Consider the following 27,696-nt stretch of genomic DNA (forward strand, 5'->3'; position numbering starts at 1 on the left):
TTCTTCTTAACAGTGGAGTTTTATTTTGGGACAGAGCACATTCTGAGGCAGTGGCAACTTGGTAAAAAGAATACATGTTCTCACCCCACATTCTTTATGATCTTTGAAGGAAAAAAGCAAACAGGATTAAGTACATCTGAGTGAACGTATAAGACTCCTAGGAGCCCTACTCTGGTTAATTTCCCTCTATACTTACCTCTCATCCTTTCTGTAGTATACCATATATTTCTCTAAGCATGGTTCAGCACCATTGTAGCATTCCTGTAGTCCTAGCTGTTCAGGAGGCTGAGGCAGGAAGATTCCTTGAGCCCAGGAGTTCAAGGCTACAATGAGCTATGATCATGCTATTGCACTCCAGCCTGGGCAACCGCAAAGATGCTGTGTCTTAAAATTATCTTTCTAAAGAAAAGAAAAGGGTTCTTTCTAGAGTACAGGTTGGCTTGAGAGAGAAAGGCCATCTTTCTCACTTAGAAGGCAAGGATAAGAGGATGTGTGAGTGACCATAGTGAAGAGGTAGGGATTGAGACAAATGTGAAGTGGGTTTATCTGTTGAGAATGATAAAGAAGACCGAGAGCATAAAGAGAAGGCCAGATAGCAAAGGTCACAATGAAATTGTTTAGTATGAATTTGTAATGAGCCAGATATGGGATATTGCAGCTAGTTTTCATCAGTTTTGTGTGGCCAGGGAGCAGAGAGAGTAGATGGTGGTGGTGATCCAGGGTTGAAGGTTGATATCATAAGGCATAGAAGTGTGTGGCTGGTGTAAATATAGCTTTCAGGCTGCGTGAGGAACTAAGGAAGGCCTACTAGACTATTTTATGGGAAGAACTGGATTTGTGGTTAACCAGAGTCCTAAGATGTGCAAGGTCAGTGTGTGAACTATGCTGGAGTGTGATGTGAAGCAGAGATCAAGAAATTAGTACAACAGAGATGTTTTACTGTTGTACTTCCCATCAGTGAAGGATGGGAAAGGGCTTTTATTACATACCAGACACTATGATTACATCTCATTTTTGTACCTTATGAAATATCTATGTCTACTTTATGCATGAAGAAACTGATGTTCATCAAGTTTTAGTAGCCTATCCAGCACTACAGTGCTAGTAATTGAGTTAAGCCAGTGACTTGCAGAGCTAGGATTAAAACCTATATATTAGGCCGGGATTACAGGCGTGAGCCACCACACTCAGCCAGAAAATCGTTTTTAAGTTGTAAATCAGGTAAGTTTTATTTCTGACAAATTAACTTTTTAATTGTGTAGTCCATTTTTCCCTTTTATAAGATGGGGACCTATTAGTACAATTAAGATGCTCATTTCCTGTTGTGTAGTATGTAGTGCTAAGGTAATCACTTAGCTAGTCATTGAAATAAATGAGATCAACATTTACTGTTTTTCTAAAGGTAAGCAATTCTTTTCTGAAAAACTTTTACCTTTTCCTCTGCAGCACTGGATTTCCTGGAACAAATTTTGACATTTAGCCCCATGGATCGGTTAACAGCAGAAGAAGCACTCTCCCATCCTTACATGAGCATATATTCTTTTCCAATGGATGAGCCAATTTCAAGCCATCCTTTTCATATTGAAGATGAAGTTGATGATATTTTGCTTATGGATGAAACTCACAGTCACATTTATAACTGGGAAAGGTAAATTGATCCTAAATTAGAAAAATAATATTTACTGAACTTTCAGTGGACCATATGTAGTGAGTTTTTTTAAAATTATGTATAAGACATTGTAGAAGTCTTAAAAATTTAGTAATGTAAAGATACAAAAATTAGTCAGGTGTGGTGGCAGGCGCCTGTAGTCCTAGCTACTTGGAGGCTGAGGCAGGAAAATCACTTGAACCCAAGTGGCCGAGGCTGCCGAGATTATGCCACTGCATTCCAGTCTGGGCAATAGAGCAAGACTCCATCTCAAAGAAAAATTTAGTAATGGTCCTTAATATTTATATCTATAAATAGCCGTTAATTAAAACATTTAATAAAGTAATTACTGGTTAGATGATATATGGGAAAAGTTAAATGCTACTTTGAAACATTTTCAAAGTCATTAAGGCATATTTATAAAGTCCTTTAACTGTGATTTTATGAATGTCAAAAATTTAAGATGTTAGATGACAAGACTCAGTCATATCCAATAAAGTATCTCCAGTGTCTCAGTGGTAGTTATATCTTAACATAAAAAGTATTTGATTCATATTAGATGCAGGATTTTTTTTTTTTTTTTTTGAGATGGAATCTCACTCTGTCACCCAGGCTAGAGTGCAGGCTGGAGTGCAGTGATGCAAGCTCAGCTCACTGTCCTGCCTCAGCCTCCCGAGTAGCTGGGATTACAGGTACCCAGCTAATTTTTAGTAGAGGTGGGATTTTATGTTGGCCAGGCTGGTCTCGAACTCCTGACCTCAGGTGATCTGCCTGCCTTGGCCTCCCACAGTGCTGAAATTATAGGCGTGAACCACCGTACTCAGCCAGTATTTGAATCTGTTTTCCTAATGACACAATTAATTTGGGGACACTTAACATAGGTTCAGTAAAAGAGACTTTTTTAGGTCTAAACATTAGTGTATAATGTTATCCATATTTTGATGTTTCATAAAGTGAAATAATTGGATTTCTAGGAAAGTTTGGCTGGGCGCGGTGGCTCATGCCTGTAATCCCAGCACTTTGCGAGGCTGAGGCAGGCCAATTACCTGTGGTCAGGAGTTCGAGACCAGCCTGGCTAACGTGGTGAAACCCGGTCTCTACTAAAAATACAAACATAAGCCAGGCTTGATGGCGGGCTCTTGTAGTCCCAGCTACTCAGGAGGCTGAGGCAGGAGAATCACTTGAACCTGGGAGGCAGCAGTTGCAGTGAGCCGAGATTGCACCACTGCACTCCAGCCTGGGCGACAGAGCAAGACTCCGTTTCAAATAAATAAATAAATACATTTCTGGGGAAGTTTAGATATAATTCTGCTTCAGAGTAGGATGGTAGCTTATAGAGTCATCAGGTGATTTTGATGCTTCAGAGTAGGATGGTAGCTTATAGAGTCATCAGGTGATTTTGATGTATGGCCAAGTTTGGGAACCACTAATGCCAATCTTTTTAATCTTAAGATTTTAAGAAGAAATTTTTTTCCCCCTCCTCAAATGTTGATGTATTGGTATGGTATGTTTACACAAATCTGCAAACTACTTTTTTTCTCCATGTGTCCATTTCTACCCCCTAAATAATGGTTCTTTTCTTTTTTGAGACGGAGTCTCACTCTGTTGCCAGGCTGGAGTGCAATGGTGCCCATCTCTCTGCTCACTGCAACCTCCTGAGTTCAAGCAGTTCTCCTGCCTCAGCCTCCCTACTAGCTGGGACTATAGGCACCCGCCACCATGTTCAGCTAATTTTTGTATTTTTAGTAGTGGGGGTTTCACCATGTTGGCCAGGCTGGTTTCAAACTCCTGACCTCAAGTGATCCATCCACCTTGGCCTTCTTGAAGTGCTAGCATTGCAGGCCTGAGCCACTGCACCTGACCTGCATTTTCTATTTTACCTAGCTAAGTTATCTAATCTCTTTTCTTTTCCCTCAATGATTATACATGTCAGTAATAGGATAGCGCATTCAGCAGCACGTATACACAGGGAGATTTTTGCTATTCATGGTGATGAGTTTTCCAGCAAACCTCCTCCTCTTCTAGTTGCCCTTACTGTAGAGTAAACATTTAGCAAACCTCCTCCTCTTCTAGTTGCCCTTACTGTAGAGTAAACATTTGTAAGGTACCTGATTGAGATTTGAGATCTGCATTTTGTGGCTATGAAGTCTTTTGTTTGCATGGAACTGGTGGACAAAAAACAAATTGGAAATGAAGTTACATACTGCATTGGCAATTACCAAATATATTAACAGAGCTTTCCTATCAAGACTAAGTTCTGGTAGGGCAAGGCAGGCATATTTACTCTCCTATAATTATCCCCTCATAGACCTAGCACAGTGCTGTCACATAGAAGGTACTCGGTGAATTTGAAAATGAAATCATATACGTAGAATAACGCTAGTGTATTGATTTTTTTCAGGTATCATGATTGTCAGTTTTCAGAGCATGATTGGCCTGTACATAACAACTTTGATATTGATGAAGTTCAGCTTGATCCAAGAGCTCTGTCCGATGTCACTGATGAAGAAGAAGTACAAGTTGATCCCCGAAAATATTTGGATGGAGATCGGGAAAAGTATCTGGAGGATCCTGCTTTTGATACCAATTACTCTACTGAGCCTTGTTGGCAATACTCAGATCATCATGAAAACAAATATTGTGATCTGGAGTGTAGCCATACTTGTAACTACAAAACGAGGTCATCATCATATTTAGATAACTTAGTTTGGAGAGAGAGTGAAGTTAACCATTACTATGAACCCAAGCTTATTATAGATCTTTCCAATTGGAAAGAACAAAGCAAAGAAAAATCTGATAAGAAAGGCAAATCAAAATGTGAAAGGAATGGATTGGTTAAAGCCCAGATAGCGCTAGAGGAAGCATCACAGCAACTGGCTGGAAAAGAAAGGGAAAAGAATCAGGGATTTGATTTTGATTCCTTTATTGCAGGAACTATTCAGCTTAGTTCCCAGCATGAGCCTACTGATGTTGTTGATAAATTAAATGACTTGAATAGCTCAGTGTCCCAACTAGAATTGAAAAGTTTGATATCAAAGTCAGTAAGCCAAGAAAAACAGGAAAAAGGAATGGCAAATCTGGCTCAATTAGAAGCCTTGTACCAGTCTTCTTGGGACAGCCAGTTTGTGAGTGGTGGGGAGGACTGTTTTTTCATAAATCAGTTTTGTGAGGTAAGGAAGGATGAACAAGTTGAGAAGGAAAACACTTACACTAGTTACTTGGACAAGTTCTTTAGCAGGAAAGAAGATACTGAAATGCTAGAAACTGAGCCAGTAGAGGATGGGAAGCTTGGGGAGAGAGGACATGAGGAAGGATTTCTGAACAACAGTGGGGAGTTCCTCTTTAACAAGCAGCTCGAGTCCATAGGCATCCCACAGTTTCACAGTCCAGTTGGGTCACCACTTAAGTCAATACAGGCCACATTAACACCTTCTGCTATGAAATCTTCCCCTCAAATTCCTCATCAAACATACAGCAGCATTCTGAAACATCTGAACTAAAACACTCAGCAGACATTTATCTTTGTATTCTTCATGAAATGTGTTTTGTCTTTTTTTATTACTAGTGTTTAAGTCATTTTTTACTTGAATCAGATGGTGTCATTTAGTAAGGATTTTATGAGTTCTTGTTTTTTAAAATCCAGACTTTCTTTTTCTACATGTGAGATAGTTTTCATTTTAACTGGCATGTCATTTGCACACAAAAATAAAGACTAGAGCAAAATAATGCAACGCAGGAGGAGAAAAGAAATGCACTAAGACAAGAACATTCTCTCATAGAACATTGATCTGTTTTACAGGAAACAAACCTTGCCTTGAAATTTACACAGTGAGACTGTACATAATTGCATGAAAATAGCTATTTTTTTCCTAAGACATTTTTCATTCATGAATATTTTCAAGTTTTTCATACTGTACACATTTCTTAAAACACATGATACCAGCAGCAACTGAAAATGAATGCCGAATTTGGTACACATGTGTTATCTACCTCAAGGTAACAAGAGTATGTGGCAAAACATATACCACCCATAGTGCTTCACAAAATGCACTTCTATTTAGCCAGCGTTTATTGTAGTAAACTATTCTTAATAAAACTCACTCACTGTTTATAAATGTTCTGGTATGCATTCTTTATAGTGAAGTGTTAATACATCACATCTTATTTATTTTAGCAAATCAGTATATTTTCTGTATTTAATTATAAAAAATTAACTTAGTTTTTAAAATTTATTTGCAAATATACTTTACTTTTTCCATTTGGCACTATGGTTTGTTGCCTACCTAGCTGCATCTATAATGTCAGCTTATCCTAAGGCTGTCCACGTACTTAATTTACTTAAGTGTTCATTTTAAGTAACGTGCTCACTGTGTATAGGAATTTGTATTTTGGAGGTGCTTGATCTATCTACAAAGAAAAATTAATTAGGAATTACTTTATTATAAAATGCTCCTAGAAGTCTTAATTGTGTTTATTTTTTAAAAAAACAAATGTTAGACTTGTGTGCATGGAAGTAATTAAGGTACATCATTATTGTAGTTTGAAAGTTGTACATGATAAGACATTTTGTTTTTACTGTATGTTTTTACTGAATGATCTATTCCCCATCCCAAGGCAAGCATGAATAAAATTAGGTTAAACGTAGCATGTGGCATCGCAGTCTCTTAGAATTTGTTTCATCTATTTTATTTTATTGAATACTGTCTGTATCTTTGGTTATCCTGTTTGAAGAAAAAGGACAAATAAAACATGGCCAGCAAATACAGCTCCTGTTTCACTCTTGGGTTAATGAAAATTTTCTGCTAGAATGAAAATTACTACCAGAATCACTTTGAATTATGGCCATAAATTGCTAGTCTGAAAGGCTGAGAAGGTTCAAGTCTTTTGACTTAAACCATCACATATTAGAATGGAATAAAGCTTTATAATATTTCAAAACTGTTAGGTAAAATGTGTAGTTGAAACTTTGAACTGTGCAGTCAGAAAACTTGAGATTTGCTCTGTAATACATCTTTGCGTAAGAACTTACCCTTTTACCTATCCAGCTACAAAACCATCCTCTTCACCTCACTTTTCTTTCATCCTTGTTTTGTACAACACCAATTCTATTAATATCTGCCCACCTACCTTCTCAACAACTCCATCCTCTTCACCTCACTTTTCTTTCATCCTTGTTTTGTACAACACCAATTCTATTAATATCTGCCCACCTACCTTCTCAACAACTGACTTCATCTGGATTCACAAAGCCATATATATACACGTGTGTGTGTGTGTGTGTGTGTGTGTGTGTATATATATTCATTTATTTATTTTCTGGTTGAATACTGTCACGTTATTAATTTAAACATACTCAAATTACCTTAAGAGGACAAGCTCTGAAGTGCAGTCATGAGAATTGATTTGTGGGGAAAAAAAAAATGGGACACTTTTAGTTGGAGCTGGGTGGGGTGACAAGTGCAGAGGCTTTGAGTGTCATGAGAGCATCAGACAGGATGTAAAGGAAGCAACGGGCAGCAGACATTGGTCCCTGATCCTCCATTATAACCAATTTTTTGCAAACGTATGTTGATTTTGAGAATAATTAGCTTTGACTCTAAAATGCTGTCTTCCCTGAAGGAGACCTAGGATTTTTCTTACTGGGAAACTTGGCTCCTGGACTTAATCCACATTCGTTAAACTGTCACCTTGGCAGTTTAGTGGCCATCTACACAATGATCTGACTTGTTGGCATTAAAAAGTCCAAACATAGTCATCAAAGGAAGAAGAAAGTAAAACTGAAACCCCTTATATAAAATATGCTTGCTTTAGGGTGACCCAGGCTGAGTACTAAGTTGTAAAGTCAATTTCCAATAAAAATTTTATGTGCCAATTACTTTGTCTCCACTTGCAATCAAAGTATCTTTATAGGGTAATGAAGATGAAATACTCCAAGAGGCAAAGTCTTTCTTTCTCTGCCACCCAGGCTGAAGTGCAGTGGTGTGATCACAGCTCACTGCAACCTTGAACCTAGGCTCAAGTGATCCTCCCACCTCAACCTCTTGAGTACCTAGGAGTAGCTGGCACCTTTGTTAAAGATCATTTGACCATATAGATGAGAATTTATTTCTGGGTTCTCTACTCTGTCTCTTGTCACAGTTTTTGACTGTTTTTTTCCTTTGAGACAGGGTCTTACTCTCTGGCCCAGGCTGCAGTACAGTGACATGATCATAGCTCACTGCAACCTTGACTTCCCAGGCTCAGGCAATCCTGCCTCAGCCTCCTGAGTAGCTGGAGCCACAGGCATGAATCAACATGCCCAGCTAGTTTTTACATTTTTTATAGTACTTTTAAAATTTGTTTATAGAGACAGGGTCTCCCCCATGTCACCCAGGCTGGTCTTGAACCCCTGGGCTCAAGCAATCTTCCTCAGCCTCCCAATGTGCTGGAATTACAGGTGTGAGCCATTGTGCCTGGCGGTAAAGCATTTTTTTCTGACATGAGTATGGCCACCCCTGCTCTATTTTATCATTTGCCTGATAGCTTTAGTTTTAATTGCTACACCACAACGTATTTCTTAAATGACATCTTCCAAAATTTTGCTTCTACCAACATCTTTGCAGTGAGAATTCTTGTGAACATGTGTAAGAGTGTCTTTAGGGCAGATACATAGGAGTAGAGTTGCTACATATCTTCAAGTCTATGAAGATGCCATGTCCCTGTCCAAAAGTGATTGTACTGACTCACATTCCTGCCAGCAATGCACAAGAGTTCTTATTCATCCACATGCCTCCAAGCAAGAAACCAAGTTTCTTCCATTGAATTAATCCTACCAGCTTTGCAATGTTCAGTTTACAGTAGGAATCAGGATTTCTAATTCCAAACAACTGCATGGCTGGAAATCATGACTACACCTTAGGGATCCTTAAGTAGCCACTTCAATGTGAGATTGCCTTGTTTCTCATTTCCTATTGCTCCAGCCACTGCAGCTTGGGAACAGAGGCTTTAAATCTTAAAGGCTGAGCCAATTATGTCATTACACTGGGGTCCATACCTAAGGAGAAGTAGATCATGAATCAAATCGGGTTTTCAAATAAAATCCAAGCAAACATCACCTTTGCTTCTCAGTTAAGACACCTGCATAGTATTGGTTATGAAATTATTTGCAAGCACTGTTTTCCATTTGATACTTTGGTGTGTTTTATATAGAGCACATTTAGTTAGTGATCTAGTCAGCAAGTGGACCGTTGTCTGAACCGCTGACCTGCTCCCAGCCTTTTCAGTACCTGTTTACTATTGAATTAAAAATCAATAGAAGCTCTACCCTAAGTAGGTTCATCATGTATGGCATATTAATCAATTGCAGTTTTACCTGATGCCTCTCCATGTGAGCATTGTTTATCATTCAGATCCTAGTACCTTCTGAGTAGAGAAGAAAGAAGATTGAACCGGAAATCAGGAGATCTGAGTTCTGGACCCAGTTTTACCACTGACTCTCTGTCATTTGGGTGTCACGATCTTGGTGAGCCTAAGTTCCTTATTCAACTAGAAATGCGTATTACTCGATACTGACCTGGAACAACTTCTGAACCAGACACTGTCTTACTCAATTCTAACCCATTATAATAGCACAGCGATTAGCTCTTGCCAGGATGTGCTTGCTTATAGATCTTATTTCTATAATATCTTTATTGAACTGGCTGCATTAAATGTGCCTTTTAAGCAGATTGAGAATGAAATTTTGTGTTCAGTGCACGTTTACCAGTTGACAGGTAGAGGAAAAGGCAAAAGTATTAGAACTCCAGGGTTGTTTGCCTTTGAAAGAGCAGTGTAAACTCACTAAGCTCTTTCCTGTAGGATCTAGGGCAGTCTCCTTAATTAAGCCAGGTGAAGAGAAGGATCTTTGTGAGCTCTTTCAACATAGATTCCAACATCTATGTAACAAATATCTTACAGAAGGGAAGGGTGTTTGATCATCCACGTTAGAGCACTGTTTCAGTTATAATGCAGAGCTCTAACAAAGAAACTCCACTGGATTCGCATGTTTATCTTAGTATAATACAGTGGTAGTGTTACAAACCTAGCTAAGCAGAATACTGACTTTCCATTACAATTGTCAGCCTCTGCATCATCTTGCTTAATTAGGTCTTAGTGCTGTTGTAGCTGGGTGAGTGGGAACGCCGGTGCCAGATTTGAGATGCTGCTCCCAGTCTCCTGGTTCAAAGTCCAGTCCAAGCCTGTTTCTTCATGCCCAATGTAAACCACAAACTTGGATCCACGTCTGTACATTTAGACTCTGCTTCCACCCGGACTTACCAATCCCACACCCTCCTGACTTGAACCTCTGAGGCAACCTCAGCTGCCAGCTGGGACATTGAACCTTGCATGCAGCATTGCATAGTGTTTAGGCACACATGCTTCGGAGTCAGATCAAATCAAAGCTTAAAACTGTTCTTCTGCTTACAAGCCTTGTGGCCTTGTAGAGGTTATTCAACCTTTTGATTTTCCTCATTTGTCAAGTAGAGCTAATGATACCTAATTCGTAGAGTTGTAAGAATTTAATGAGATACTGTACACAAAGCCTTTTTAGCATGATGCCTGGTACTTAATAAATCACCATTGCCCTTGTCCTGTTTGAATTACTGCCCATGCCACCCAAATTGTACTGAACACTGGATTCTGACCTTGACGCTGCCTTCAGTATTGCATTCTCCTATCAATCTAAACTTCTGGCCTTGACCTACAGATGGCTTCTTGCTCTAGCCATAGTGCCCACCAGCTCTATCCAACTTTTGGCTCCAGCTTCTGGTCCTTTCTCACCAGTCAAACCATTGCCCAAACAAATTAAGTGTAGCAGCTCTCAGACTCCAAAAGACTAGACTGAGCCCATGAGTCTGCAATTGCTTCCCCCACCCCACCCCCCAGAACAAGCATCTTCATTTAGAAGCCAAAAGCCTTGGAGTCATCTTAGACTCCTTTCTCTGAAAACTCACATCCAATCCATCAGTGAATCCCATGGCCATATCCAGAATCTGACCACTTTTCACCATCTCTATCGCTGCCTTGTGATCCAGTCCACCATCCCAGTCTGCTGGACCATGCCAATAGCCTCCTAACTGGCCACCATGCAGTTTATGGTCAGTACAGCAGAGTCATCCTTGTAAGTCCTAAGTCAAACCACATCACTCCTCTAGTTTCTCAAAATTTGAATGACTCCCCCTCCTGAGGGTAAATATCAATGTCTTTACCGAGGCTCACAGGCACCTCTCCACTGCCCCCTCCTGCGCTTGCATGGCTTCAACAGCACTGGGCCACAGTTGCTCCCACCTTAGGGTTTCTTACATGTTCTTCTGGCTGCCTCGAAAGCTCTTGGCCCAGAGAGCTGCATCACTCCCTCCCTCCCTCATTAGAAGTTTTTGTTCAAGGTCAGGAGATCGAGACCATCCTGGCTAACACGGTGAAACCCCATCTCTACCAAAAAGTTAGCTGGGCGTGGTGGCGGGCGCCTGTAGTCCCAGCTGCTCGGGATGCTGAGGCAGGAGAATGGCGTGAACCCAGGAGGCAGAGCTTGCAGTGAGCAGAGATAGCGCCATTGCACTCCAGCCTGGGCGATAGAGTGAGACTCCATCTCAAAAAAAAAAAAAAAAAAAAAAAGTTTTTGCTCAAATGTCACTTTATCACAGAGGCTGTGCCTGACCAGCGCATATAAAATAGCATGCATCCCATCACTCATATGCCCCTGCCCCGCTTGATTTTGCCTTCCAGCACATAACCACTGATGTGATATATCTTTATTTACAGATTGTCTTCCCCTGTTAGAATATAAGCTTCTTGAAGCAGGAACTTTGGCTCTATCCCCAGCCCCTGACACAGGGTGTGGGACATGGTGAGCACACTGTGTTTACTGAATGAAGGCATGAAGGAAACTAATGCTGACTGTCTCGTTTGTAAATTCCCTCTGGAATGATGGTGCTCTGGAACAGTGAAGCTCTGTAGATAGGGCTGGGGTTTGCTTATTAGTTTTTGGGTTATAGTATTCGTAGTTCTCCAACTTTGTGTAATTTGCAAAGGGTTATCTAACTTTGGGATTCCTTAGATGTCACTCTCCTGAACCAGCAAGCTCCAAGTTGCAATCCCAAGAGCAGTTAGAAATTCTCGGAATATGTAAGGCTGGTTGGGCTGGTTTATTATCCTTAATTGCATTGTCGCGTGTAGGTGCAGTTTAGGTGAACGATTGTACTGCTCCTGAGTCAGCTGCTCAACTGCTTCCCTGTTCTCCTTGCTGGGTTGACTGTACCTGTTAGGATTGCACAACATACTCGTGACCCAGTTAAGACAGCGCCATGCAGTTTGGTTTTCAACTGCCTCTGCGCTATTGCTATTCGTAGCCCTGCCAGCTGAACCAAGCCTAGATTATACATCTAACTCAGGATCTGCGGCAAAAGAAACCACCTCACGGTAGCCTTTGCAAAAACAGTAAATTTCTCAGGATTCAAGTGTGATTTGTGGAGCCCAAGAACTGGATCTCAGGAAGAACCAGAACCAGGCCAGGGGTGGGGGAGCACCAGCAGCCCAAGCAGGACTCTGCATCTCATCTCTGCTCTGTTCTTTTTCAGCCAGCTGGGCTTCTGATCCCAACAGTGGCTAGAAGACGGTTACTTACAGCTTCAACTTCAAATGGTAACCCTCCAGCTATATAGAGTTCTTCTGTCTGTCCATCCCTCTGCCTATTTCTCTCTCCCAATTCAAGGTTTCTCTGAAAGCAAATCATATTGGCCCTCCCACTAGTCTAGTTAGCTATGGCCAGGTGGCAGGGTTATGTTGAGGGATTGCTGCTGCTATTGGGAGTCAACCCTTGTTGATAGGGAATGGAAGGCAGGTAGGAGAATCATTTTTAGCTGGCTGTCTCCAAATGTACCTGCAACACATGGCAATAAATTATCTCTTCCTGCTTATTTTTCTTATAGTCAGTTGTCAGACATATTATTCTGTAGGGCACTGCTTCTCCAGCCAGACCTACTGGGGTCCTCCAGGCATTGATGTTACCAACTTGTCTTTTTTTTGAGACAGAGTCTGTCAGCCAGGATGGAGTGCAATGGAGCAATCTCAGCTCACTGCAACCTCTGCCTCCTGGGTTTAAGTGATTCTCCTGCCTCAGCCTCCCAAGTAGCTGGGATTACAGGGTCGTGCCATCACGCCTGGCTAATTTTTATATTTTTAGTAGAGACGGGGTTTCACCATGTTTGCCAGGCTAGTCTCCAACTCCTGACCTCAAGTGATCAGCCTACCTCAGCCTCCCAAAGTGCTGGGATTACAGGTGTGAGCCACTGCACCCAGCTTACTGATTTTAAAATTTTAATTTTTTTAGAATCAGGGTCTCACTCTGTCACCCAGGTTGGAATATAATGGCACGATCATAGCTCACTGCAACCTTGAACTCCTGGGCTCAAGTGATATTGGCTGCTTCAGCCTCCCGAGTAGCTGGGACTACAGGTGTGTGCCACTACTCCCAGGTAATCTTCTAAAACAGGTGTCCCTTTTTTTTTTTTTTTTTTTTTTGGTAGCATCAGGGTCTCACCATATTGCTCAGGCTAGTCTCAAACTCCTAGTCTTAAGCATTCCTCCAAGTGCTGGGATTACAGATATGAGCCACTGTGCCTGGCACTACTTATTTTTTTTTGAGACGGAGTCTCGCTCTGTCACCCAGGCTGGAGTGCAGTAGTGGTGTGATCTTGGCTCACTGCACTCCCGGGTTCCCTCACGGGTTCACGCCATTCTCCTGCCTTAGCCTCCTGAGTAGTTGGGACTACAGGCACCCGCCACCACGCCCGGCTAAGTTTTTGTAGTTTTAGTAGAAACGGGGTTTCACCGTTTAGCCAGGATGGTCTTGATCTCCTGACCATGTGATTCGCCCGCTTCGGCCTCCCAAAGTGCTGGGATTACAGGCGTGAGCCACTGTGCCTGGCTAATTTCTTTATACATCACAGTTGGGTAATTTATGATTTACCAACTATATTCTGTTCATGGTTTATTATCTTCTAGAACGTAAGCTCCATGAGGGTAGGAATCTTTGTCAGAGTTGTTCACTGATGGACCTCAACACCTAGAACAAGACCTGCAAATCATAACATAAAACCTCAAAGATGTGCTAAATCTATTTTTTTTTTTTTTTTTTGAGATGGAGTCTCACTTTGTTGCCCAGGCTGGAGTGCAGTGGCACAATCTTGGCTCATTGCAACCTCCGCCTCCCAGGCTCAAGTCATCCTCCCACCTCAGCCTCCCAAGTAGCTGGGACCACAGGTGCCTGCCACCACATCTGGCTAATTTTTGTAGTTTTAGTAGAGATGGAGTTTCGCCATGTTGGTCAGGTTGGTCTTGAACTCCTGACCTCAGGTGATCCACCTTGGCCATGACCTCCCACAGTGCTGAGATTACAGGCATGAGCTATCATGACCGGCCTACTACTTCCCTCACTATCAGAAAACCCCACCATACATGCCAGGTAATCATATTTATCCTAACACAGTGCTCCTATTTTATACATATGTGTATGTATATACACACATGCACACACATATACACTTTGCAGATATTAAAGGATTGTTTTTCAAAAATGAGAATGTTGGAATCAACATTCTTGTACATACTGCTTTAAGACAAAGAACCTGCCTGAGTCCTTGATTTAGCTACCATCATGCTCAACAGGAGAAAAGACAACGGGGTTCTAAGACTTCTAACAAATGTTAATTTATGTACCATCTGCATTCAGATGTCATTTGGGTTCTATTGTTCATAATGACCAATTAGCATAAAAGAACTATAGAGGTTCAAGTCCATGTTTCACAAAATATACATTAAAGTTTGATGTTATGATGTCTCAGAGAGGACTTAACAAGGACACTAACATGATACTAAATATGTGACTTAGGGTGTTTCATTTTTATAAATATTTCCATCACCAACTCCCTTAGCACTATCTTCTAAATGGCTTCACTATTTAGAATCTGTCTCCTGCACCCCTGCATCACCAGGGCTTTCCTTATCTGTCCAGCTGCTGAGCAGAAAAGCATGAGGACATTGTTTTATTTCTAACTTTTAAGAAAGTGGGCCGGGCGTGGTGGCTCATGCCTATAATCCCAGCACTTTGGGAGGCCGAGGCAGGCGGATCACCTGAGGTCAGGAATTTGAGACCAGCCTGGAGAACATGGCAAACCCGTCTTTACTAAAAAATATAAAAATTAGCCGGGCATGGTGGTGGGTGCCTGTAATTCCAGCTACTCAGCAGGCTGAGGCAGGAGAATTGTGTGAACCTGGGAGGTGAAGGTTGCAGTGAGCCAAGATCTTGCCACTGCATTCCAGCCTGGGCAACTACAGTGAAATTCTGTCTCCAAAAGAAAAAAAAAAAAGAAAAAAAAAGAAAAAGAAATAAAAGCTCATTGTTGAGAAACTAGAAAATGCAGGTAAGGAAGTGGGAAAAATTCCCCAGAATCCCATTACCTGGGTATGATCACTGTTAATTACTATTAATATTTTGGGTCTTTCCTCTTCCCCTCCACTCCTTCCAAGCTAATTGCTTTATTTTTTCATATACAAAAGGTAAAAATCATTCAAAGATGCATAAAATAATTTCCTCTTTTCCCTCCCTCTATATTCTCTCCCCTCCAAATATCCCTATCTCCACAGGTAACCAACGTTAATAGTTTATTATACATTTATCCAGAATTTTTCAAATGTATATACAAACATATATGTACTTATAATTGGGTTATTCTGCTTACTGTTCTGCAACTTTCTTTTCTCACAATACATTTCAAGCATCTTTCTATGTTGGTAGTAATTGACTTTGTTGTTTCTAATGCCTGTAGAGTATGTAATTATGAGGATGCATCATCATTTGTAGAACCAATTTCCTATGAGCGGACATTGTTTACTATCACAAGCAACACTGTAATAAACATTCTTTGTGTGTCTTTGAGCCATTTCTGAGGATATGCTTTTAGAAGCAGAAACTCTGGAACAGAGTTGGTTTATGCTGAACATTTCAGTGGATCTCCCACAGGCTTTTAGCCTGTCTGCCCCAGTGCAGCAGATGGGTTATTGTCAGCTGGTGCTTCTGACCCAGGCTGTGTCACACCCGTCGGAAATGTTGTGCATTTCACTCCTGGATACCAAATTGTCCTCTAAATGGCTGGACCAATTTATATCCACAGTCTGTTTCTCCACCCAAGTACCCACTTTTCCCCACTCTGGCCAGTGCTGCATATTATCAGGGAGTTCATATTTTAAATATATATATATATTTTTTATATATACATATATTTATATTATATATATATTTTTATATATACATATATTTATATTATATATATATATTTATATATGTATTTTCCCCCCAGATGGAGTCTCACTCTATCGCCCAGGCTGGAGTGCAGTGGCGCGATCTTGACTCACTGCAAGCGATTCTCCTGCCTCAGCCTCCCGAGTAGCTGGGACTGCAGGCACACACCACCACGCCTGGCTAATTTTTGTAGTTTTAGTAGAGACACGGTTTCACCATGTTAGTTGGCCAGGCTGGTCTCGAACTCCTGACCTCGTGATCTGCCCACCTCGGCCTCCCAAAGTGCTGGGATTACAGGCTGAACCACCGCACCCGGCCTCATAATGATTCTAAAGAACCCTCTCTAAATATGTCACACAGGTTGCAAAAGTCCATGATAAATATTTTTTCTTGTGTCTTTCACAAAGTTTTTTTTGTTTGTTTCAATGTAGCTCAATCTGTTAATATTGTCTTTTATATAGCCATACTTGGGATGGCCTTCCCCATACCAAAATTATTGAACTAGTCTTCTATATTTAATGTTGTAGATTTATATCTGTAATCCACTTCAGATTATTTATTTTTGAGACAGAGGCTGGCTCTGTCACCCAGGCTGGAGTACAGTGCCACGATCTCAGCTCATGGCAACCTCTGCCTCCCGGGTTCAAGTGATTCTTCTGCCTCAGCCTTCCAAGTAGCTGGGATTACAGGCATGTGCCACCATACCTGGTTAATTTTTGTATTCGTGGTAGAGATGCGGTTTCACCATGTTGGCCAGCCTAGTCTCAAACTCCTGGCCTCAAGTGATCCACCCACCTTGGCCTCCCAAAGTGCTAGGATTACAGGCATGAGCCACTGTGCCTGGCCCACCTCAAATGTATTTAGCAGCTTAATTTTGATATAATGCATATACCATACAATTTGCCCTTAAAGTATACAGTGACATGCTTTTTACTATATTAACAAGATTGTGCAACCATCACCACACTCTGATCTCAGAAAACTTTCATATCCCCTAAAAGAAACCCTGTCCCCACTAGCAGTCACTCCTCAATCTATCCCCTGGATCCAGTGGTCCTGGGTCCCTGACTCTGGTGTCTCTCTGGACTTTGGAGTCCGCTTGCCCTGCCACGCCTGCCCATCTTCCCTGCCCCTCCCTGCTTTCGTGTTCTTCTCAGACCTTGGACTTGGCTTTTTAATGTATATTACAGTGTCCACCCCTCCCCTCTACCCTTGGGAACAGCGAGTCCTGGATGCTGCTTTCTTTCAGATCCAGGGCACCAACTATACTAATCAGCAACTTGTCAGCCTCTAATACATGTTTCTGCTTATCCCTGAACAACTCATCCTGACTCATCCCACAACTGCTCACGATTCAGTCTGAACATGTCTCACTCAGCCATGACACCCAGGAGACAGGGCCTTCAAGCTTGATTCTGTATTCCCCTTCCCCTGATACGATCACATGTAATAGATGCATGTGAAGCTATGGGAAGAAATGAGGTGGTTGAGAACAAGAGTGAATGGTGAGAAGGAACCAGGACTGACCCCTGTAGGACACTAACAGTCAGAGGCCAGAGACAGGAGGCACAGTCAGCAAGGGAAGCCAAGAAGAAGTGATGAAAGAAGTAGACAGAAAATCAGGAGAACAGGACTCAGAAGTCAAGAGACAAAAGTGCTTCAGCCTGGAGGGGGAGGCCAGCAGGATCAAATGCTGCTGAGAGAATTCACATATGAAGCTGACTAAAAGATACACAATGGACTTGGCAACAGAAAGATCATTGGTGACTTTAGCAAACTTCCGTGTCCATGATCAGGTAACTCCACTATTTAACATCCTTTAAGACTCCCCAGTGCCTTTCAGATAGAGTATCCTTCGTTCTGGCATCATCTTTTTTTTTTCTTTTTTTTTTTGAGACAGAGTCTTGCTCTGTCACCCAGGCTGGAGTGCAGTGGCGCCGTCTCAGCTCACTGCCAGCTCCGCCTCCCGGGTTCACGCCATTCTCCTGCCTCAGACTCCTGAGTAGCTGGGACTATAGGCACCTGCCATCACGCCCGGCTAATTTTTTCCATTTTTAGTAGAGACAGGGTTTCACCATGTTAGCCAGGATGGTCTCCATCTCCTGACCTTGTGATCCACCCACCTCGGCCTCCCAAAGTGCTGAGATTACAGGTGTGAGCCACCGCGCCTGACCCGGCATCATCTCTTATCACTTCCACACACTCACCCCAGGCTCCAGACATACTGAGCTACTTGCATGGATAGATGGCCCATTCTCTCTTGCTACCGTAGTGTCCCCTCTGCATGGAACCCTTTCCTCTCTGAAAACTCTCAAATGTCCTTCCTGATTAGCTCAAGTGCCATGTCCTCCAGGAAGCCCTCCCTGACCTCTCAGATTGGGTTGGGTGGTTCTCTTCTCTCTCCCCATAGCACCTTGTGTTGGTACAAGGTACATTTTCCCTTGGGGGTATGTCTTATCCAGCTTTGTTTCGCAGTCCTCTGGCCAGGGCCTGTCCCCCGGTTTTCCCAGGCACGCAGTGAAGCAAGCCTTGTTAGTGGAGGTGGGGGATGCATCCAGCTTCCCTCAGACCAGAAAACTTGCAAGCCAAACTGGCTGTGAGCCACGGACTCCTCTTTGGGTTCACATAGGTCAGGTTTGCTAAGAGACCTGGGCCAGGAGTGCAATTCCTGGCAATTTAGTCCTTGGGGTCATTAGGTTGCAAAATCCCCAGTGTCATCAGGTTGATTGCTTTTCCCAGCACTATCTATGTCTCCCCACACAACCGGCCTTGGCATCTCTCCACCTCTATCTGCTCTCCTGCCCCAGGTCCCTTCCCTCTGCATGCACTCATCTTCCAAGCATCTGAGGACCTCTCACCGACTCACATTTGCTTCTGCATGTATTGGTCTCCCTGGGGTCTTCCCTTGCCCCACAGGTCTTTGCACCGTACATGGGTAACCCTGAGTCTGGTCTCTCTGGTTGGATGTGAACTCCCTGCAAGGACGAGGAGAACACTCTTCCTCCTTGCATTTACGGAGTGCAAACCTCCTATACTCTACCGGCTGAGTTCAGGGAACATCGACTTGTATGTTATCAGTGACCAAAGAGGCAGGCATTAGAGGGCCAAAAGCTTTCAAACCACTTTGAGTGTGGTTCTTAGGCGCACTGGTGGAGCTACACCCAAGATGTACCCATGGCACACTCCTCCCCTAAAACCCCACTCCCAAAATCAGAGCTCAGTCTCCTCCTTGCCCTAAAGCCAGGCGCCCCCTTGTGGAAGAACGCCTTCTCCTCAGAGAGGTCAAGTGCCGCTCCTTGCCTGCAAACCACACGTTGCCCCTGACAGAAAACTCTTCCTAAGATTAGAGAGTAGATTCGCTCTGCTTTTAAAAACACGTAATAATGCATGTGCTTTATTACTGATAATAAAACTGTGCCTATTCATGTCATAAAATTTAGCAAGTGAGGCAAATTATAAAAAAGATCCCATTAAAAAAAATTACCACAACCCTACCTTCCACAGACAGCCACTGTTGACATTTTGGTGTTTTATCTAGTCCCTTTTCTATGAAAATATATGAAATATGTAAAAAATCTACGTATGGGTATACATAACATAGAAGTTAAAATATAAATTTGGCGGCTGAGGCCATGCCTCCTCCAGACCGTGGCTGAGCCCTCTGGCCTTGAACACCCCCCGCCTTACTCAGCCTGAAGCCTTGAAGCCTGCCCTCCCCCAACACCTTGGCACCCCAGCTTCCCTATCCTGTTCTACTTTTGTTTTCTTCAACACTTACCACCTTTCCCCTCTATACAGTTTCCTTATGTATCATGTTTACTGTGCATCTCTCAATCGCCCCTCAATATAAGCACCAAGAAGGCAGAATCCTTGTCAGTTTTGTTCAATGATGCACCCCAAATGCCTAGAATAGCTCGAAGCACACAGTAGGTACTAAATAAGCATTTGTGAGAAGATGACTTAAGATTATATAAATCTGCTGTTTTTCATCTTTAAAAATTATTTGTAAACCTATGTAATCAACAAGAGCATATAATATTCCACCCTTTTGTTATATCATGATTTATTTTACCATTCACCTCTTGTAAGTCATCTAGGCTGATTATAATTTTGCATATTATTAATCTCAATATCCATCATTTATCTACCTACCTACCAACTATCTCTCTACATTCCTAGCTCTGACCAGTAAAAAGGCCTATATATGTAGAGGGCAAAAAAAAAAAATCCTCATTTCTCATTAAAAAAATAGTCCCTCTAATAATTAATCTTAAAACTTCATTTCTCATTCTCTTGGCATTTTCTTTCTAGCTCTGTTCTCCTGGAAACCTGATAAAGGTGGAACGTTGGCTGTGTTACCAAGCAACAATGCTTGTGGTAAAAATGATCCACTTCATCTGGACAGCGAGGGCCGTGAATGAATCATAAGTACCTGGTGGGAAGCTGTGGCTCTGGAGTTCTGAATCTTGACTCTTGGAGCTCGGCACGCCCCTTGAGGAGACAAGGAAGCTATTCCCATGAGACTCTTACTAGAAATATCAGTTTCTCATTGGAATAAGGCTTTAATTTGCTATGTATGTGACATTTCAGTTTACCTGGGTATCCTGTATTTTATCTGGCAACCCTACTTGAGGAAAAGGAGCTAGAGAGACACCTGCCATCATGCAGTTGGAGTGCTGTTTCATGCCTTTGCATCCTTATTCTAAATTAAGTTAGACCAGGCACGGTGGCTCACGCCTATAATCCCAGCATTTTGGGAGGCTGAGGCGGGTAGATCACCTGAGATCAGGAGTTCGAGATCAGCCTGGCCAACATGATGAAACCCTGTCTCTACTAAAAATACAAAAAATCAGCCGGGTGTGGTGGCGGACTCCTGTAATCCCAGATGTTCGGGAGGCTGAGGCAAGAGAATCTCTCAAATACGGGAGGTGAAGTTTGCAGTGAGCCGAGATTCACCATTGCACTCCAGCCTGGGCAACAAGAACAAAACTCCATCTCAAAATAAATAGTTAGTGCCAAGCATGTCATGCTGTAGTCATGCGAGTCTAAGTGTCTAACAGACCCTGAGAAGAACTCCAAAGTGGGCATCGTAACCTAGCAACAGTGACCATCCTAGGAAGAATAGCACCCCAGGAACCCAGATTATGTTCTGTAAGTACTATTCTCCACGGAAAGGAAACAGCTCATTCTAGTCTGGGGCAGCAAAGGTACGGGATGAACCTGGAACATCCTGTCATACCAGAAAGCGAGGAACATATTGAAGACCACTGTGCTCATATCAGAGGACTCAGGCACTTGCCTGGAGAGGCTGAGCTTTGCTCATAGGAAGAGATGGGGAGTGAGTGTGGGTAGACATGTAACAAGATTGGCTGTTAGTTGATGATGATTTAAGCTGGGTGATGGGTATGTGAGGGAGTCACTATGTTATTTTCTCTAAATTTGCATTTTTGAAATTGTTCATAAAAAAAGTCTAAAAATATTAAAAGAAAAAGTGACTATACCAATTTCCATTCCCTCCAGCAGAGGTGTAGAATCATAATGGTAATTTTAGATGGCGACATGAAGTATTGAGTCATTTATACAGCCTATTATAAATATTTAAATATATATACATATATATATTTAAATTTAGACAGAGTCTTGCTCTGTCACCCAGGCTGGAGTGCAGTGGTACAATCTGGCTCACTGCAACCTCTGCCTGCCAGGTTCAAGCAATTCTCCTGCCTCAGCCTCCAGAGTAGCTGGGATTACAGGCATCCACCACCATGCCCGGCTACTTTTTGTATTTTTAGTAGAGATGGGATTTTGCCATTTTGCCCAGGCTGGTCTCGAACTCCTGACCTCAAGTGATCCGCCCACCTTGGCCACCCCAGGTGCTGGAATTACAGGCATGAGCCACTGCCCCCGGCCTGTATTTTAAATATATTTTAAAGATATGCTGTTATATAAGCTGGGAATTTGAGAAACTTGGATATAAAGAAGACTGAGTTGGCTGCGCGCGGTGGCTCATGCCTGTAATCCCAGCACTTTGGGAAGCCGAGGCGGGTGGATCACCTGAGGCTGGAGTTCGAGACCAGCCTGAACAACATGAAGAAACCCCATCTCTAATAAAAATACAAAATTAGCCAGGCATGGTGGTACATGCCTGTAATCCCAGCTACTCTGGAAGCTGAGGCAGGAGAATCGCTTGAACCTGGGAAGCGGAGGATGCGGTGAGCCGAGATTGAGCCATTGCACTCCAGCCTGGGCAACAAGAGCAAAACTCCATCTCAAAAAAAAAAGACTGAGTTGTAAAAAAAAAAAAAAAAAAAAAATTACAGGGACCCAATTCTACATAAGTATAAATGAATAAGTAATTGGAATCTCTGGCTTCAACAGATGAAGAGTTCAGGTTGAGAGAGAATTTAAATTCTGCTCAAAGGAGGAAACATACCGGCCATCTTGAGATGCCCAGGTGCCTCTGTTCTCCATTGTTCTCTCCTTTAGGAGCAGAAAAGCAGCAAGCCAAGCATGCTGGGTTCCCAGAAGACCAACACTGTGAGTCTAGAGGCAAAGGCAGCCTTTCTGCCGCTGCATATCCAGGGCTCCTGGGGACTGCTTAGCGCTCTACCTCACTGCAAGCAACAGCCTAGGGTGCATTACCTATCCCACACAAAAAGAGAGCCAGAGTTACTTAGAATTTGTTTGAGAGCTGCTTCTCATCTCTGCAGCTCCCAGCAGCAGGTTGTGTTGGGAGAGCAGGGCTGTGTCTGAGTGCCCCTCATCAGGCAGCACAGATGCCTGGCATGTCCCAGGCTGTGGCCCAGACTGTGTCAGGTAACCAGGCTGTATTCAGCCTATGGGGTACTCCCTCCCTCCCTCACTACATTGCTTTTTACTATCTTTTGGCCCCTTTTAAAAATCCAGCTCACCACACCTCCCACCTCCTGGTGGAGCCAGCTGTGAGCCTCGGCAGAAGGGTCTTGGTAGTTGCAGGCCTCCCAGGACAATTGCCAACCTTGAGGGTTTGCTCAGTTACTGGAAAGCAGCTTTAAAAATATAAATAGCTGTGGTAAAGACTGCACTTGTGAGAGTTGTCAAACCACAGAATACCCAACTTCTCCCTCCTGACAACTGATTTCCTTTTTTTTTTTTTTTTTGAGATTGGGTCTCACCATGTCCCCCAGGCCAGAGTGCAATGGCGCAGTCTCTGCTCACTGCAACCTCTGCCTCCCAGGTTCAAGCAATTCTCCCGCCTTAGCCTCCTGAGTAGCTGGGATTACAGGCACCTGCCATCATGCCCAGCTACTTTTTCTATTTTTGTAGAGACAGTGTTTCACCATGTTGGCCAGGCTGGTCTTGAACTCCTGACCTCAGGTGGTCTGCCCACCTCAGCCTCCCAAAGTGCTGGGATTATAGGTGTGAGCCACCACACCCAGCCCTGACAACTGATTCTGAGAAATGCTCTTCTCCCCTTGAATAGCTGGTCTATCTCCACTGGGGAAAACTCCAGTTTCTAAAGGTACCTGAATGACACAATCCTGTGAGTGGGTGATAGCCCTCCTCTCTCTTTATCTGACCTGATTTTTCAGTAGGAAACCAACTTCTTAGCCAGATGGGGTCTGTTCTGAATGTGTAATTGGTGCTAAATACATATCTTTTAAATCAAATTTACTCTTGCTCTAGCTGCTTGATTTTTTGGGGCAATGGAAACATATAATTACAATCATGCTGAACTGCATTTGTTTTTAGAAAGCTTCAATGTTTGATTTTTAGAATAAAATAAGCTTTATTTTTTACTCATTCTTTTGCTCTCTGTTAAAACCTTCATTCCAGGATGATCTACCTCGGGAGCACAGATTACAGGGTGATTATTATTTTGGTTCAACATATATAACAAGGAAGTAGCACACATGGATACAACTGTGCTTTAGAGACAACCTCTGCCAGACCTCTTGGGTCTTTTTCTCTCCTGCCGCTTTAACAGATGCCTCCCCTTGTTGTCCAAATACTATAAAACTCTGAGCTTGTAAAGAGAAAACGTGGCATTGAGTGTGGTGAGGTTTCAGGTGTTCTTTCATTGCCATGACGCTGATATTTTCTTGTTCTCCCCAAGCTCCTCTGGTATCTTCATTTGCTTCCCTTCAAGAAAAGCTCTTCTTGGTTTTCCTAATCCCTTTCTACAGATATTCTGAAGACACCAAGAAGATATTCAGTTTTTCCCCACTCAGAGATGACATGATTGCAGACATGACATCCATGAGCTCAAAGCTCTCATCTCCAAATAAACATTGAATTCAGCCAAACATTGGTCAAGCACCTACTGCCAGCAGACATGTATGTTAGGAGGATATTTGGCTGCAAGTAACAGAAAAAAAAAATCATTCTGTCTAGAGCCTTATTAAAAATGAATCTTGGGCAGAGCACGGTGGCTCAGGCCTAATAATCCCAGCATTTTGGGAGGCCAAGGTGGGCGTATCACCTGAGGTTGGGAGTTTGAGACCAGCCTGACCAACATGGAGAAACCCTGTCTCTACTAAAAATACAAAAAATCAGCCAGGCATGCTGGCGCATGCCTGTAATCCCAGCTACTCAGGAGGCTGAGGCAGGAGAATCTCTTGAACCTGGGAGGTGGAGGCTGCAGTGAGCCGAGATTGTGCCATTGCACTCCAGCCTGGGCAACAAGAGCAAAACTCCGTCTCAAAAAAAAAGAATCTTGGGCCAGGCACGGTGGCTCACGCCCGTAATCCAGCACTTTGGGAGGCCAAGGTGGGCGGATCACCTGAGGTTGGGAGTTCAAGACCAGCCTTACCAACATGGAGAAACCCCATCTCTACTAAAAATACAAAATTAGCCAGGCATGGTGGCCTGTAATCCCAGTTAGTTGGGAGGCTGAGGCAGAAGAATCACTTGAACCCGGGAGGTGGACATTGCGGTGAGCCAAGATCACGCCATTGCACCCCAGCCTGAGCAACAAGAGGGAAACTCTGTCTCAAAAAAAAAAAAAAAAAAACTCCATTAAAAGAAGAGATTCATTTTTCTTATGTAGCAAAAATTCAGGAGACATGCAGCTTCTGATGTTGGTTCAGTGGCTAAAAATTATCAGGGATAAAAAATATATATCAGGGATAATATCTGTGATTATTTTGCCTTTCCCTTATGAGTTCAAGGCAACTATTACAGTTACATATTCATACTACATTATCTGTTACTATTACATATTCATCCATATGAATCCATATTCAAGGCAAGGAGAAGAAAGGATCATGCTGGTATTGTTCATCCCTTTATATTAAAAAAGCAAAAGATTTCTCAGAACCTCCCAACAGACTTTTGCTAATATATAATTGGCCAGAATGTGTCACAGAGCCACATTTAGTTGCAAAGGTGGCTGAGAATGCAAATGTTTGGCTTTTCCAATTCCAAATGTAGAGTCAAAGAAAGAAAGAAGTTGGGAATGGGTATGGGGCAGCCAAACCATGAGATCTGCAGAGTGAGATCCTTCCAACTGTGTTTTGAGTTTCTTATTGGAATTTAACATGTGCTTTAGAGATGGTCTGGTGAGGTCAAGCTCAGATTTCCTTACCCTCCAACTCATCTTCTCTTCCTAGCTTCCTACCACCTATTAGCTAGCCCTTTCCTGCCTCCTGCTGAAGAGTTAACAACTATAGACTAATCTTGATTAATAGAGCAGGAGGAATCTTGGCTTAAAGCCAGAAAATAAGTCATTGTGTCAAAACTCCAAAGATGGCTTGCTTTGCAATCTTGGGTGGCATATAGTTTGAGCCTTGATTTTTTCACCTGTAACATATTTCTTAATATTTCTTACTGCACAGGGCTGTTGAGAGAATTAGCTGAAATAGGCATACATGAAATGTCCTGGTAAAGCACCTGGTCCATATAGGCTCTCCATGGATGTTTGTTGCATAAATGAATGGGACTCTGTTAATGAAACTGTCCCTATAAACTTTATAAAATTGGCCAGGCGCAGTGGCTCACACCTGTAATCCCAGCACTTTGGGAGGCCAAGGTGGGCGGATCACAGGGTCAGGAGATTGAGACCACCCTGGCGAACACGGTGAAACCCCGTGTCTACTAAAAATACAAAAAATAAGCCAAGCGTGGTGGTGGGCGCCTGTAGTCCCAGCTACTTGGGAGGCTGAGGCAGGAGAATGGTGTGAACCCGGGAGACAGAGCTTGCAGTGAGCCAAGATTGCGCCACTGCACTCCAGCCTGGGCTACAGAGTGAGACTTCGTCTCAAACAAACAAACAAACAAACAAACAAAACTTTATAAAATTAATCTGGGAATAAGGGGAGAAAGAAACAAAAATAAACTATGCTTGCAGCACATTCAGCATTAATCATTCAGTCAGCTTGCTCTCTGACCCACTTCCTCATAGTTGTTTGGTACCTCTTATACTATAATCACATAAGCCCTATAGTTCCCCTTAACTGCTCTATAGATAACAACTTGAACATTATGAAATATTAAGTTTTCCCTTTGATATATTCTTTCAGGTTTTGCATACCAGTGAAACTAGTGACATCGGCTGGTCTAAAGGACCCCACAAGCAGTTGACTCAAAGAACAAAGTTTCCAAGTTCTGATTTTCATACCCCTTCCTCGATCAATCAACAACCACAATTTTCTAGCCCCTTGCCCTTCATAATTCTCTTAAAAACCCCAGCCCAGAACCCCTCAGAGATGGATTCGAGGGTCTCCTTCCATCTCCTTGCTCAGCCACCCTACAATCATTAAAGGCTTTCTCTGCTGCAAACCTTGCTGTCTTGGTATATTGGTATGTCACTTCACAGTGGGCATACAAAACTGTTGGTCCTGTAACAGTATACATCTATTGGTTTGGGATGCCAGCATTCCTTACCCACTTCTGGTAACATCACCTCTTTCTCTTAGAGAATCCTCTGACATCTTGTGGTCTTCAAAAGGCCTCCCAATCACAGTACTTACCACCCCCTGGCCAAAGACTGAACATGACTCTACTGACCAATCACATTGCCCCATCTCCTTGGCTACAGTGACTTGCATGTGACCAGTAAGGCCAATCAGAGACTCTCTCTAAAAATCTTTACTTGTATATGCTGAGAAATGTTTTCTTTGGCCTTTGGTTTTTTGGAATGATGTAACTCTGAGGCTGTCTGTAGCTATGATATTCCCTTTCTCAGTCACCACTATCACCAGTTTCTTAACATGTGTTCGTGTGTTGGATGGGGGCATAGACTTACAGACAATAGATGACAGATACAGTGACAGAGAAGAACAGGGGCTTATGGGAGATTATCTGCTCAAGACAAGTGATGAACTAGAAAGGCCAAACTCTCTTTGAAGGGCAATTAAGGGACTCAGTGTATGTGATGGGGAAGAACTGCATTGAATAAGATGTGTATGCCTGGCATTTTAAGTCAAACTTTAATTCCAGTGAAGGTTTAAACCATACCTGGCCTCTATTCCTATTTGGTTGAAAAAAATCTGCACATAAGTGAACCCACAGAGTTCAAACCCAAGTTGTTTAATGACTGTACATATATATGTTTATTCAAGAAAGTACAATTGTAATTTACTGAACCTAAACAGTGCAGCTGGCCATCTTGGAATGAATGGCATGGATGCCCTTCTCTTTTTGGGCTCCCTAGGACATCACACTCTTGATTTTCCTCTTACCTCAGTTGCTTGCTTCTTCCTCGTCTTCTTTGCTGGACTCTTCTTTTCTCTGATCTACTGATATTGCACAG

General features: G+C 42.6%; 1 protein-coding gene and 2 long non-coding RNA genes across 14 annotated transcripts in view, besides 1 other annotated feature; 2 read left to right on the plus strand and 1 right to left on the minus strand.

Annotated features, from left to right (window-relative positions):
• Positions 1–7,523, plus strand: part of MAPK6 (mitogen-activated protein kinase 6) — a 95,551-nt gene extending 88,028 nt beyond the window's left edge. For all 12 annotated transcript variants that reach the window (XM_047432852.1, XM_047432853.1, XM_005254537.4 and 9 more), the window contains 2 exons: positions 1,447–1,648; positions 4,050–7,523. In XM_047432852.1, coding sequence (XP_047288808.1) covers positions 1,447–1,648; positions 4,050–5,148 — 1,301 coding nt within the window. In that variant the 3' untranslated portion in view covers positions 5,149–7,523. The remainder of the gene's footprint in view (positions 1–1,446; positions 1,649–4,049) is intronic.
• The window catches only part of LOC112268150 (uncharacterized), a 44,564-nt gene that overhangs the window by 3,872 nt on the left and 12,996 nt on the right, over positions 1–27,696 (minus strand). The gene's annotated exons all lie outside the window — the stretch shown is intronic.
• Positions 17,310–17,389: an enhancer, noted in NCBI's record as "active region_9417". NCBI's record gives its function as "activates an Ori minimal core promoter by ATAC-STARR-seq in GM12878 lymphoblastoid cells {active_cell/tissue: GM12878}" and the evidence as "EXISTENCE:reporter gene assay evidence [ECO:0000049][PMID:35858748]".
• LOC124903494 (uncharacterized) lies at positions 20,905–26,723 on the plus strand. The gene is made up of 2 exons (XR_007064637.1): positions 20,905–21,116; positions 26,465–26,723. It is a non-coding gene; the product is annotated as an uncharacterized LOC124903494 (long non-coding RNA).

This window comes from Homo sapiens, chromosome 15, assembly GCF_000001405.40.
Source record: "Homo sapiens chromosome 15, GRCh38.p14 Primary Assembly".
NCBI lineage: Eukaryota > Metazoa > Chordata > Mammalia > Primates > Hominidae > Homo > Homo sapiens.